Here is a 14538-nt window from a genome sequence, read left to right on the forward strand (position 1 = left end):
GAGTAACCCAAGTGGAGACTTGAAGGATGGGTTAATGTTAGCCAGGAGAAGGAGAGAGGAGGGTGTCCTGGGCCCCAGTGCAGAGATGGTGACTGCAGGGATGTGGGGGCAGCCTGACCTTGGAAGGTTTTATGGATTTGCATCCTCATGCCTAGTGAAATGACAGGTTTTAAGAAGGAGAATAGCCTCAGCTGACCTGAATTTTAAACAATCCCTTTGGCTGCAGTGAGAGAAAGAAGTGGACAGATGGAAACCAATTAGGAATCTGTTCTGAGTCTAGGCAAGGGGTAACGGAGATTTAACCCAAGTGGTGTCACTGGAACTGGGGAGAAGTGGAGAGATTGAGACACTCAGGAGACAAAGCCATAGGACTCAGTAATGTAGCATTTATAGGAGGTAAAGAAGAGGAAGACTTCTGGCTTCTGGTTTGAACAGTAAGATGGTTGGTGAAGTCCTACACTGAGAAGCAGTGTTAGGGGGTACAAGGATGAGTCTTAGTCCAGAAATGCTGCTTCTGAGGTGCCAGGGAGACATCTGAGGGATGCAGCACCTGGAGGCAGGGAACGAGCAGGGAAGAGACGTCCATCTGGAGCCATCAGCATCAAGGCTAATCACCTGGCAAGTGTGTGAAGAGTAAATGAGAAGACAACCAGCACTTAACGGAGATAGGCAGTGGAACTGGTGGGCCAAGGAGACTGTGAAGAAGCAAGCAGGGAGGTGGGAGGTGAGCAGGGCGAGTGTGGTGTCACAGAATCAAGGTCAATGAAGACACTGGGTGAAGTGTGCCTGGATTTGGAGTCCTGTACCTCATTTGTTGTGTAGAACAGGAGCAAGACCTGGCCTGGGTGACATGCTGAGCAGCATGCAGGCCCTGCCAAGGGTGAAAGCATGATCCACCCACGGTGGCATCAGGCCACCATGATGTAACCTTGTCACTCAGCCTTAGCAACTTGGGTGCAGTGGGTGGCTGGCAGATGGCTGGATACAGGCAGAGCTGGGGTGTGTCCTGGCAGGCGTATCAAAAGGACGAAGCTAAGGAGTTTAGGATATTGGCAGGAGGGTGGTTAAAGGGATGAACCATGGAATCTAAGCTGGATAGAAAAGGAAGTGCAAGGAGGGAAGTGGCCAGTGGCGGAGGAGAAAGCCAAAGGAAAGGGACTTAAGGAGAGGAAGTGGGTAAATTTGCAGCAAGGAACACTGGGGGTTACAAAGTCAGGCTTGTGTAGTCAGGGGACACTGGGCTTACCAGGGATAAAGATAAAAAGCAGGCTGGGCGCAGTGGCTCATGCCTGTAATCCCAGCACTTTGGGAGGCCGAGGCATGTGGATCACAAGGTCAGGAGATCGAGACCATCCTGGCTAACACAGTGAAACCCCGTCTCTACTAAAAATACAAAAATTAGCCGGGCATGGTGGTGGGCGCCTGTAGTCCCAGCTACTCAGAAGGCTGAGGCAGGAGAATGGCATGAACCCGGGAGGCAGAGCTTGCAGTGAGCCGAGATCGCGCCACTGCACTCCATCCAGTCTGGGCGACAGAGCGAGACTCTGTCTCAAAACAAAACAAAACAAAACAAAGATAAAAAACGAACGAGACCATTTCTGCCAAATTAAACTACTTAATAAGACCAGACTTTCCCCCAAGAAAAGGGAAAGAAATGCAAAGAGCAGCATAGGGAATTAATGGAATTGTCATAACCCTGTTTCTTCATGATTAGGTGGGGCATTACATAAAGAATACAGAATCCCAATACATTTTTAGAACTCTTGCTTTGATTTCTCACTAAAAAGGCCCCATTCCTATAATGAATGACTTAAGAGAAGAGACATGCTCAGCTAGAGGAGGACAGAAGTTGCTAATTTGGGATTTGGCTTTGAATTCCAATAATCTCTGCCATTAACTTACCATATGATTTAATAATGGGATTTTAAAAATCTAATATAATGTTTATTCAGCACTTCCTAAATGCCAGGCACTATCCTGAGAGTGTTACATGTTGATTTCGTTCAATCTCCACGACTCTGAAGTATGTACTTGTATTGCCCCTATTTTACTGATGGGGAAATGAGATGTAAAGAGGTTAAGTAGGTTTACCAGTACTCTTAATTTTTCAGCTAAGGGTGATAATGCCAATTGGTACATTATAAGGCATGAACCATAAAAATGATGGTACAATTCACCTAAATTTCACCTAAATTCTAAATAATTTTGATTACATGAAGGATTTGATTTAAAATGTTAAAAAAATCTCAATACAAACCTGTATTTCTCTGAATTAGCATGCACTCCTCCTTTGCAGAAAAATGGCTTCTGCTTGAAATGCCAAAGTCAAAGCAGTACTTATTCTTCCCCATGTCAAACAAAGTACAGTTAAAAATTGTCCTCCTCTCTCCCAGGGGCAGGCTGTTTTCAGCCAAGTGAATGGTCCTCTTCCCAGGGTATCTGGGGGCCTCCTTGAAGACAGTGACCACTCCTTGGACGAAGGTGCATGGTGGAGGCAGCACTGTCACCTCTACCCCGGACTCACATGTGAGTTCTGGCACCATCACCAGTTTGTATCCAAATTTCTGGGCCAGGTCAATGGGTCCTGTGGAGGTAATGACTGAGTCTCGCCCAAGCAGCTTCAGCACCACGGTGACATAGGCTTCTGGCCCCAAGGGTGCACAGCCAAACTCAACCCACTGACCTTGAGCAAGTTCTGTCCTTTTGCTGGTTCTTATTTCCAGCGGCTGTCTTGAATTTCTTCTTGCCTCAGGAAGACTGTTGGTGAAGATGACATCCACTACGATGTTGGGCTTGTCCACAGGAAACGGGCACAGTGGTTGACTGGTAAATAGGCCCACTTGGAAGGTGCCTTCTGCTGCCTTGGCACTCCTATTCAAGTCAACGTGAAAGACAGGCCATTCCACCTTCAGAAAGGCACTTTTCTCCCACCAGGGGAATGGAGTGCTGTTGTCTGTTGCTTCTGGAGTCATTGTGAACCAGTAGTCACCAGCCTCCTTGAAATAGAAGCACTCAAACTTTAGTGTTCCCTGGGACTGGTTGGTCAGGAGGTACTTGGTAGTTACAGTCTGATTGGTGTTGGCCTCCAACAGCAGGACAGATACATTCCTCAGTGTCCCATTAGCACCATCAAAATACTGGAAATCCACATACACTGTGTCGTTGCTTAGTGCTACATGGCCTGGCTCTCTCAAGAGAAGATATTCAGCTTCTCCAAGAACTGAAATGAAGTGGTCAGAATTGGTTTTTAAAAGGTGCATTTGAGAAGAACTATTAGTGACATTGATGAAAACAGAATTTTTAAATTTTTTTTTGAGACAGGGTCTCATGCTGTCACCGAGGCTAGAGTGCAGTGGCGCAATCACTGCTCGCTGTACCCCTAACATCTTGGGCTCAAGCGATCTCCCACCTCGCCCTCACGAATAGCTGGGACTACAGGCACATGCCACCACACCCAGCTAATTTTCTTTTTGTAGAGACTGGTTTCAAACTCTTGGGCTCAAGCAATCCTTCCACCTCAGACTCTCAAACTGCTAAGATTATAGACATGAGCCACTGCACCCAGCAGAAAACAGCATTTTAGACAAGAGAAGTTAGAACTGAGCCAGGGATGATGTAAAATGATACTGAGCACAGATCCTGGAAGCTGGCCATTGTGCTCTTTCCATGGAAGTGGTTCTGTTCCTTCTTCATCTTTCATAGTTAGGTTTAAAATAATTAGTGGTAAATACTCTGAATTCACAACATTCAACAATGTGATATATCTGCAATGAAAATCTATACAGCCAGAATAATAATTTTTAGGATTAAAAACCCAGTATCTCATATTGTTAATCAAAGATTCTGGTGTTTAGATATTTGGGGAAAATGGATATACAGTGAAGAGAAAGCTTGATTTAAATGACACAATACAAATTGTTCTGGATTATTTTAAATGTAAGACCCTAAATTTATTTCAAAGTTATTATTTACTGATATTCAAGACAAGCACTGGGGAATTTTTACCAATAAAGGAATCAGTGTCCTCAGTTTGTATGAGGCAGACATATTTAGATGGATAAGAAATGTTGACACTTTATGCTGCATGGATAACCGAAGGGATAGGGTGAACATTTCTGAAATAACTAGGCTTGTCCTTGGCAATTTAATGACATTACAGCAACTTTTATTTGCCTAAATAGGACAGATGACTACTACTTCTCAAGTATCATTCTGTAAGGATCAATCATATCTTTTAAAAAGAGACCCAGCAGAGCAGCCTAAGTGAAAAGTGCAAAGAATAGACACACAAGAATCCTTGTTTCTATTTTGAATCCCATCCAAATATATATCAAAGGAGGCAGAATTTGGCAATACAACAGTCAGCTGGCCCGTGGCTAGGGTAAGAAACAGTTCTAGATGTAAGGGATTGAAGTTCCCTTTAGGTTTGAAAAACAACTTGTGGAAGTATGAATTTATTATTCTTATTATATATGCCTCATGAATATATATGTCCAAAGGGGCCCATGTGTTTTTTTGTTTGGGGTTGCAGTCTTTAAAATACCCTTATATATATGCAATCAATGATTATTAGAATCAGCACATGAATACCTTGGCACACAGAGGAGTTTTTAATTAGCACAGCATTTCACCTAGTTCTCATTTGAGATGAGGTGAAATAAAAGACATAAAACTTGGATGACTTGAATGCTTGATTATCACTTGTTTGAAAACCATAATAGGATAAAGTTCTTTTTTTCTCCAATTAAGCAAAAACAAGTTGAGGGATATTCCCTTTTGTTTGGAGATGACTCAAAGTTGAGGAAGGTGGCTGATTCTGGTGCAGCTTGTGTACTGGATCAGACCCAACCTGGTACCTTTCTTGAACTACTGTGTAAAGAGACCCCAGCACTTACCACAGCCCAAGCAAGTGCTTAAGACTGAGAACAAAGTCATACTAATTTGGATCTGAAGGGGGCAGGATGGTTCTGTGGTCCATTTAAGAATAAGAGGCATACACCACTTAGTTAACTAATGAAAGTCTATTGCAGGCTGGTCCGATGGTAGCAGGTTATCAGAACTTATTAACATTAGTGTCACCAAAGTTGGTATATGACCCCCAACTACTAAATTTGACTGGCTTAAAAAAAAAAAAAAAGCAGTCTCTTGTGTATGACAGGGATTGTCAGTGAAGCAGATCAGATTCTGATTGATGGGAGCCAGTCAATGAAAAAGACACACATGCCCCGTTGGAAATGGAAAACAAAGATGCAATTGATGAGTTCCAGCAGCAGCAGATAGGAGGTATGTACTAGAGGGAGAATTTGCTACTTTAGAGCTCCTGTTAGAAAACTACAATTTGGGCCAGGCACGGTGGCTCACACCTGTAATCTCAGCACTTTGGGAGGCCGAGATGGGTGGATCACCTGAGGTCAGGAGTTCAAGACTGGCCTGGCCAACATGGTGAAACCCTGAATCTACTAAAAATACAAAAATTAGCTGGGCATGGTGATGGGCGCCTGTAATCTCAGCTACTCAGGAGGCTGAGGCAGGAGAATTGCTGGAACCCGGGAAGTGGAGGGTGCAGTAAGCCGAGATTGCACCATTGCACTCCAACCCGGGCCGACAACAGCGAGACTCCATCTCAAAAAAACAAACAAACAAACAAACAAAAAACTACAATTTGGTTCTACCACATCCTGACTACTGTAATATACAGGTAATGCTAAATTTTGATCAGTATTAAGTAGAGATAAAGCAGGGTAAAACAGATCTACGACAATACCTACTTTTTTTATCAGTGGCTTGTGCACTCAACCTCTATGCTCTTTTTTTATGCTCATTCAACTTTCATTTTCATATTCCAGTAAGAAATTTTGCTATTAACAACAAACACCCTTGTATAATTTGTTTAAATGGAGAATTTCGATGCTTTATTTATCATTATGAAACCAAGAACACATACTTTTTTGTAGAAGGCTGTTACATGTAGAGTAATCTGTGTTTTTTTGTTTTTGTTTTTTTGTTTGTTTGTTTTTGAGACGGACTTTTGCTCTTGTTGCCCAGGCTGGAGTGCAGTGGCATGATCTCGGCTCACCACAACCTCCGCCTCCCGGGTTCAAGTGATTCTCCTGCCTCAGCCTCCCAAGTAGCTGAGATTACAAGTGCGTCTCACCACATCCAGCTAATTTTTGTATTTTTAGTAGAAACGGGGTTTCACCATGTTGGCCAGGATGGTCTCAATCTCTTGACCTCGTGATCTGCCCGCCTCGGCTTCCCAAAGTGCTGGGATTACAGGCGTGAGCCACTGCATCCAGCCAGAGTAATCGGTTTTTAAGAAGGGATAAATTACTTTTTTTTTTTTGAGACAGAGTCTCGCTCTGTCACCCAGGCTAGAGTGCAGTGGTGCGATCTCGGCTCACTGCAAGCTCTGCCTCCCGGGTTCACGCCATTCCCTGCCTTAGCCTTCCGGGTAGCTGGGACTACAGGCACCTGCCACCACATCCGGCTAATTTTTTTGTATTTTTAGTAGAGATGGGGTTTCACTATGTTAGCCAGGATGGTCTTGGTCTCCTGACCTGGTGATCCGCCCACCCCGGCCTCCCAAAGTGCTGGGATTACAGGCATGAGCCACCGCGCCCGGCCAAATTACTTTAAAATAAATGAATCCCACACTGGCTTTCCTTAAATCCGGTGTCTTCTTGTATAAATAAACTTCTTAAAAAAGAAAAGACTGAGAAAGGAGGTCTACTGAATGAAATGAACAGCACAGGCTCTGGTCCATTTAACCAGCTATGCCATTCACATTACACAAGCCAGTGTCCTCTATATCTTGGATCACAATTTCTTTACCAAATTCAAAAACAACTTCCACTGCCATGCAATCAACTGCTTAGATGTCTATGAAATATTTGGAAATCATCAAAAGTAGTGAAGATTATATCATATTGTTGACTCTATTGTTCAGTAGTTGTATAAAGCTCTCTGAGAAATGAACTCAATTTTTAGGTGAAACGAATGACGAGAACAGACTTTAAGCACCTACTATTTGCTCATTCAGGGTGTTTTGCACTCTTGATATTATCATAACAACCCTGTAAAGTCAATATTATTGCTGAGATTGAAAGAGATTAAGAAACTTTTCTAAGAGCACGCAACTTTCAAGGATTGAAATTCAGATTGGGTCCAAATGTATGTTAGCACCAAAACTCGGTCAAGTGAAATCTTATGTAGAACCCTAATATACACAACATCATTGCATGTGTGTATGAAGTGATTTATCACACTTAATTACTGGGAAATCAAAGAGAACTCAAGGTAACATGCTTGCCTCCAATTTGTTAAAATTTGAGAGAGTTGGTTTTTTTATTTTTTTAAGAGTTAAAAATATAAAATGAAATACGAATCAATCATGCAGAATCACTGAAGCATAAGAGAACCCAGGGTTGCAAGGGTCACAGTTGAGAAAGCACTGCACTATATACCCTACCCTGCCTCCTTCAGGAAGAGTCATCAACATCAATGCATTTATAATGTCATCTTTATGTCTTATTGCTACCAGTAGCGTTAAGTATACTCACAATACTCACCATAGTCACAGAGTACCACCAACAATAGATTTGAAAAGTCTTTCAACATTGGTTTCATTCTGATTGACAAAATCCCAGGTCTTTAGTCTCCTCATGTCCTTTCTCACGTCCAGATTGTGATTTTTTTCCCCAAAAACACCTGAAATTAGAACCTCAAAAAATGATGGCTCCGTTCAATGTGATTGATAAAATAGTAATCATTAAATGACAAAACCATTCTAAAACTCAAACTTTCTAAGTGATATTGAAAGGAAACTAGAGAGGACACTAATTTTCCCTGGGGCAATGACTTATAATTATACAAGCCTTTTTCATTCCATTATAACTCACAGGTCAAGAATATGCAGGTATGCCCAACACCCACTAAAATTATCTTTGCACAACACCAAAGTCTCTTCTCTTTACAGCACATCCTGACGTGGAGAGTTTATTGTTATTTGCTTAATTTTATCAAAGTTAATAGCCAATTTGGATACATTTTCACATTATTTATCTGCTTGGCATTTCACACTGATCAATTTACTAAATTTCTGCTAAACTTTAATTTAGCATTGTGCTGTGTATACCCAAATGCTCCCTGCCTGGCGTCCACAAATGGGCTAACATTTCCTTGCACAATTGGTGTGTTACCAGGATTGCTTCATTTATCAATTCCTAGGAGCTACATCCAAGTGATCAAAGCTTTTTTAAAAAAAAGATACCCCAGAATACTACAATTAAATATGAACTCCATGTGGCCCTGACTTCCCTTGTTTAGGGCAGCCTAAGGAGAAAACAGACAAATAACAATCATCTTCATCAGTCCTGCAATACTTGTTGCTGCTGGTATGCATCACGAGATCGGTGGTTCACACAGCAATCTTCCCAGTCTACCTAAGAGGGCAGGGAAGACCTTGCTGGCCTGTGGTTCAGTTATTTGTTGGAAGAAGCACTTATTTTATTTTATTTATTTATTTAGAGATGGAGTCTCACTCTGTCGCCTAGGCTGGAGTACAGTGGCGAGATCTCGGCTCACTGCAAGCTCCGCTTCCCGGGTTCACGCCATTCTCCTGCCTCAGCCTCCCGAGTAGCTGGGACTACAGGCGCCCACCACCATGCCCAGCTAATTTTTGGTATTTTTAGTAGAAACGGGGTTTCATTGTGTTAGGCAGGATCTCGATCTCCTGACCTCGTGATCTGCCCATCTCAGCCTCCCAAAGTGCTGGGATTACAGGCGTAAGCCACCGCACCCGGCTGGAAAAGGCACTTATTTTTATATAGACTATTCAACTATAGAATAAGATACTGGGCATTTAAGACAGTTCTTTCATACTAGAGTCTAGCAAACTATGTATTAATATTAAATATAACCAAATATGTACTTTCTTAATGTTTAAGGTCCCCCCCATTATTCACATTTTTTTTTTTTTTTTTTTTTTTTTTTTAGACAGAGTCTTGCTCTGTCACCTAGCCTGGAGTGCAGTGGCATGATCTTGGCTCACTGCAACCTCCACCTCCCAGGTTCAAGTGATTGTCCCACCTCAGGCTTCTGAGTAGCGGGGATTATAGGTGTGCACCACCACGCTTGGCTAATTTTTGTATTTTTAGTAGAAACGGTGTTTCACCACTTTGGCCAGGCTGGTCTCAGATGTCTGGCCTCGTGATCTGCCCACCATGGCCTCCCAAAGTGCTGGGATTACAGGCGTGAGCCACCACACCCAGCCCACAGTTAATCATTTTAATAAGCAAGTATATTATATTCCAAATACATGTTACATCTTTTCAGATAAGAGCACAAATTAGTGGAATTAAGAAGACTGATTGAAATAAGCCAGAATTCAATGGAAGGGAAACTGGTGTGTCTTATTAGCTTTCTTTCAGCAAGAGCTGCTGAACAAAGGAAATACTGTACTTCCTGAAAGGGAAACAGAGATTTGAAGTGTAACTATGCAGATTAGGGCTCCTTCCTCTTCCCCGCCACCCCCACCCAAAAAAAAGAAAAGAAAGGAAAGAAGAAGAAAATTGTTTTGGGTGGAATTAGCCACAGACTTGACCCAATTCTTTCCTCGAACATGGACTGGGAAACCTGGGCAAAGTCAGCCAGTAAGATCCTTGCAGAACACATCACATCACTTGGGCAAGTGTGAGCACTTAAGACAATTACAATGCTTCTTTTAAGTCACTGAGACCTGGTAACCAAACTAAGAAGAAGCAAGCTCCCAAAAGTTGAACTGGCTTCTCTCAGATTTGTTTGCTTCCACGACAATAACATTTTTATTTTTGAAGCCCCAAATCATTACTGATTTAGTGATTATAACACATTTTCTTTCTTATGAAAATGATCGGTAAAACATAGAATGGTGAGACAATCTATATTTAGAGCTGAATGGAAAAAGACTTATAAAACAGACCAGCCTACTTGTCAATCATAATATGGAATATGATCATAACATTAGTCATAATATGTCTCTTTAATTTCTTTCTACCTTGCTTATTTTCTTTCAACATGTTGTTCTCAATACCTCGACTGACTTCTTACAATGTTTGCATTGAGAATTGTTCTAAGAAATTAAGAACTTAGATATATTTTATACACATTTGAAAATACTTCTACCTAGCATTCTTGTATGTAAACTTTAGAGACAAATTCTAAATGCATCAGCTGAGAAGGTGGGGAAAAGTTGTGAATATTCTCAATGGCTAACAGCATCACCCAACCTGAGACCCCATGTTTTTGCTGAAACCAGCTAGGACAAACGCTTCTAAATCTCCCTTCATAGCTGCAGAAAAAGTAAATGAATTACACTAATGTCCATGGGACCAATGATTCGTGAAAGAATAAAATGGAAAACGAAGCAGTTATTTTGTCCCTTCTGACCAACATGCACATGCTTGTGTGTATATATACCAATAGTATTTATTGGGAGGAAATCTCTAGTTCTAAAGCAGCTCGTGTAAACAGGCTTCATTTATCTGTTCATTCGAGTTTGCTCTGCCCTGGTCCCACAGGTTGGGTGCAGCGTTCCTGGGACGCCCTGGCTCGCCCCATCTACTCAGCTTCCCAAATGCCCGCAAGCCCAGTTCACGCCTGGAAGTCTACCCCTCGCGTCGTCAGCTTAAAGCCCTCCTTAATGAGGACCGTCTTTAATTTAATTTAATCCTTGTATTTCATACTTTTTGTATATCAGAAAGGATTTCTTTTTGGAAAGAAACAGTAGCTCAAGACGCGATTTTTCAAGGTTCTGTGGCCAGTCTCAGTCACTCGGCAACATCTGAGCCAAGGCAGAGCCAGGTTCACTTAAATTCGGGACTCCGAAGTGTGGAGACCAATACCCCTTAAAAGCGTCCCCTGGGGCCGAGGCGGGTGTGGGGAGGGGCCGCCACCGTCCACCTGCGCCTTCAGGCTGCGGTGAGGTGGCAGAGTCCGGAGGCATTTCCCGACCCCAGAGGAGCCTCCAAGAGTCTCGCGGCACGGGCGCGAACACCAGGATGCGGAGGGCGCTTCTTACCTTTCGAGACTGACGGGCAGCAACCCCAGGCCGTCCGGGCGCGTGGCGAGGCGGACGGGAAGGCTCAGGGGCGGCGAGGTAGAGCGCCAAGCATCCCGCGTCCCAGACTGCACGCCCTGACCCCGCGGCGTTCGGCTCCCACAGCCCCGCGGGGCCCGCCCCCGACGGCGTGGGGAGGGCGGGCGCCGGGAGGGCGGGGGGCACACGGGACCGGGCGTGGTCGGTTCCCGCCCCTTCTGGGCAGCGCATCCTTTCCTGCCGGTCCCCAGCTCGCCAGCTGCTGGACAGGAAACAGGCAGGAAACGCGCGGCCAGCCAAGGTCCTGCGGGAGGGGGTGCGGCCCCGGCAGACGCAGGTCCCCTCAACACACACCCGCATCCACAGCACACAGCCGGACCAGGGGTTTAACGAAGGACGAGCGAGCAATCTCCTGACACTTCACATTCAATCACTTCTACTCTAGTGTCATTTTCTTCAGGGAGACCACAAAAATAAGTCCTTGAAGCGGCACAGCATGTGGGCTGTAAACTTGCTTTCCCAAATGTCACTGAAGAGTTTCAAAAGAACATAGTTCAGGTAAAGTGCATCTCCATTTTCTTTCCCTGGGGTCAGAATTGGTATTAAAAATAACTAAACATTTTAAAAACTCTACTCTGCAAGTGTTAAAGTTCTTTTTATAGGAATGTGAATTAGTTCAGCCACTGTGGAAAGCAGTTTGGAGATTTCTCAACTAAAAACAGAAAGATCATTCGACCCAGCAATCCCATTACTGGGTGTATGCCCAAAGGAAAATAAATCATTCTGCCAAAAAGACACCCGCACTATGTTTATCACAGTACTATTTACAATAGCAAAGACATGGAATCAACCTAGGTGCCCATCAACAGTAGACTGGGTAAAGAAAATGTGGTACATACACACCACGAAATACTAAACAGCCATAAAAAAAGAACAAAATCACGTCCTCTGTAGCAACATGGATGCAGTTGGAGGACATTATCCTAAGTGAATTAACATAGGAACAGAAAACCAAACACCGAATGTTCTCACTTATAAGTGGGAGCTTAAACAACGGGTACTCATGGACATAAAGATGGCAACAACAAACACTGGAGACTCCAAGTCAAGGGAGGGAGAGAAAGGGGCAAGGGCTGAAAAACATCCTATTGGGTACTGTGTCCGGAATTGGTGGGTTCTTGGTCTTTCTGACTTCAAGAATAAAGCTGCGGACCCTCGCGGTGAGTGTTACAGTTCTTAAAGGCGGCCTGTCCGGAGTTTGTTCCTTCTGATGTTCGGATGTGTTCAGAGTTTCTTCCTTCTGGTGGGTTCGTGGTCTCGCTGGTTCAGGAGTGAAGCTGCGGACCTTCGCCATGAGTGTTACAGCTTTTAAGGCGGCGCGTCTGGAGTTGTTCGTTCCTCCCAGTGTGTCCGTAGTCTCGCTGGCTTCAGAAGTGAAGCTGCAGACCTTCGCAGTGAGTGTTACAGCTCATAAAGGCAGTGTGGACCCAAAGAGTGAGCAGCAGCAAGATTTATTGCAAAGAGCCAAGGAACAAAGCTCCCACGCTTTGCAAGGGAACCCCAGCGGGTTGCCACTGCCGGCGCGTGCAGCCTGCTTTTATTCTCTTATCTGGCCCCACCCACATCCTGCTGATTGGTTCATTTTACAGAGAGCGGAGTGGTCTGTTTTGACAGGGCGCTGATTGGTGCATTTACAATCCCTGAGCTAGACACAAAGGTTCTCCACGTCCCCACTACATTAGCTAGATACAGAGTGTCCACACAAAGGTTCTCCAAGTCCCCACAAGAGTAGCTAGATACAGTGTCCATTGGTGCATTCACAAACCCTGAGCTAGACACAGGGTGCTGATTGGTGTGTTTACAAACCTTGAGCCAGATAGAGTGCCGACTGGTGTATTTACAATCCCTTAGCTAGCCATAAAGGTTCTCCAAGTGCCCACCAGTGAGGAGCCTAGCTGGCTTCACCCAGTGGATCCCGCACCGGGGCTGCAAGTGGAGCTGCCTGCCAGTCCCGCGCCCTGTGCCCGCACTCCTCAGCCCTTGGGTGGTCGATGGGACTGGGCGCTGTGGAGCAGGGGGTGGTGCTCGTCAGGGAGCTCGGGCCTCACAGGAGCCCATGGAAGGTGGGGGAGGCTCAGGCATGGCGGGCTGCAGGTCCCGAGCCCTGCCCTGCTCAGGGAGGCAGCTAAGGCCCTGCGAGAAATTGAGCGCAGCGCCGGTGGGCCGGCACTGCTGGGGGACCCAGCACACCTTCTGCAGCTGCTGGCCCAGGTGCTAAGCCCCTCATTGCCCGGGGCCGGCAGGGCCCACCGGCCGCTCCGAGTGCGGGCCCGCCGAGCCCACACCCACCCGGAACTCGTGCTGGCCCGCAAGCACCGTGCGCAGCCCCGGTTCCCGCCAGCGCCTCTCCCTCCACACCTCCCCGCAAGCTGAGGGAGCCAGCTCCAGCCTCAGCCAGCCCAGCCCAGGAAGGGGCTCCCACAGTGCAGCAGCGGGCTGAAGAGCTCCTTAAGTGCCGCCAAAGTGGGAGCCCAGGCAGAGGAGGTGCTGAGAGCCAGCGAGGGCTGTGAGGGCTGCCAGCACGCTGTCACCTCTCAGTACTATGTTCATTATCTAGGTGACAGGATCAATAGAAGCCCAAACCTCAGCAACATGCAATTACCCTTGTAACAAACCTGCATATGCACCCCCAAATCTAAAACTAAAATTTAAAAAAGAGTTTTAAGTTTTTGGGAATATATGAGAGGATAGATTCCACCTTAACAGCTGTGCTTGTTAAATTGAGTAACTATGCAGTATGGTTTAACACTTGCTTTTCTTTTATGCAGAATATACCATTTGACAGCAAAACTAATATCCGGTATGCAGAATATACCATTTGACAGCAAAACTAATATCTGGTAATGGAAATCAAAGCACAGTGGTGGCCTTTGGAGAGCGATGACAGGAAAGAGGCACCAGGAAACTTTTAGGGGGCGACAGATATGTTCTACTGTTTGGAGTGTGAGTTACATGGATTTACTAAGCATTTGTTAAAACTTGTCTGACTGAAGATCTGTGCATTACAGTTTGTAAACTGTACCTCATTTAAAAAAAAATTTTTAAATATGTGATTTGCAGGTCTTTGACTCTATCACTTCATTTTTAAAAAGGTAGCACAAGTATTTACTTATATGTTACCAGAGGTATAAAATTTTCTAAGAACTTATATTGTCAGCCAGGTGCAGTGGCTCATGGCTGTAATCACAACAATTTGGGAAACCAAGGCAGGAGGTTTGCATGAGCCCAGTACTTTTAGACCAGCCTGGGCAAAACAGCAAGACTCCATCGCCACAATAAATAAGAAATTATTTGGGAGGCCAAGGCAGGTGGATCGCTTGAGCTCAAGAGTTCAAGACCAGCCTGGGCATCATGGCAAAACCCTGTCTCTACCAAAAATAGAATGTACTAGCCGGCTGTGATGG

At 44.8% G+C, this 14538-nt stretch overlaps 1 protein-coding gene and 1 pseudogene across 2 annotated transcripts in view, besides 1 other annotated feature; one reads left to right on the plus strand and one right to left on the minus strand.

The window, feature by feature from the left end:
* Window positions 1-11198, minus strand: part of THSD1 (thrombospondin type 1 domain containing 1) — a 29006-nt gene extending 17808 nt beyond the window's left edge. For both annotated transcript variants that reach the window (NM_199263.3, NM_018676.4), the window contains exons 1-3: window positions 11057-11198; window positions 7569-7707; window positions 2258-3220 (exon numbers count right to left, since the gene is read on the minus strand). In NM_199263.3, the coding sequence (NP_954872.1) occupies window positions 2258-3220; window positions 7569-7626 (1021 nt within the window). In that variant the 5' untranslated portion in view covers window positions 7627-7707; window positions 11057-11198. The remainder of the gene's footprint in view (window positions 1-2257; window positions 3221-7568; window positions 7708-11056) is intronic.
* RNY4P24 (RNY4 pseudogene 24) lies at window positions 5030-5122 on the plus strand (annotated as a pseudogene).
* Window positions 11128-11287: a silencer, noted in NCBI's record as "silent region_5384". NCBI's record gives its function as "represses an Ori minimal core promoter by ATAC-STARR-seq in GM12878 lymphoblastoid cells {active_cell/tissue: GM12878}" and the evidence as "EXISTENCE:reporter gene assay evidence [ECO:0000049][PMID:35858748]".

The sequence above is a fragment of the Homo sapiens genome, chromosome 13 (genome assembly GCF_000001405.40).
Source record: "Homo sapiens chromosome 13, GRCh38.p14 Primary Assembly".
NCBI classification, from domain to species: Eukaryota; Metazoa; Chordata; class Mammalia; order Primates; family Hominidae; genus Homo; species Homo sapiens.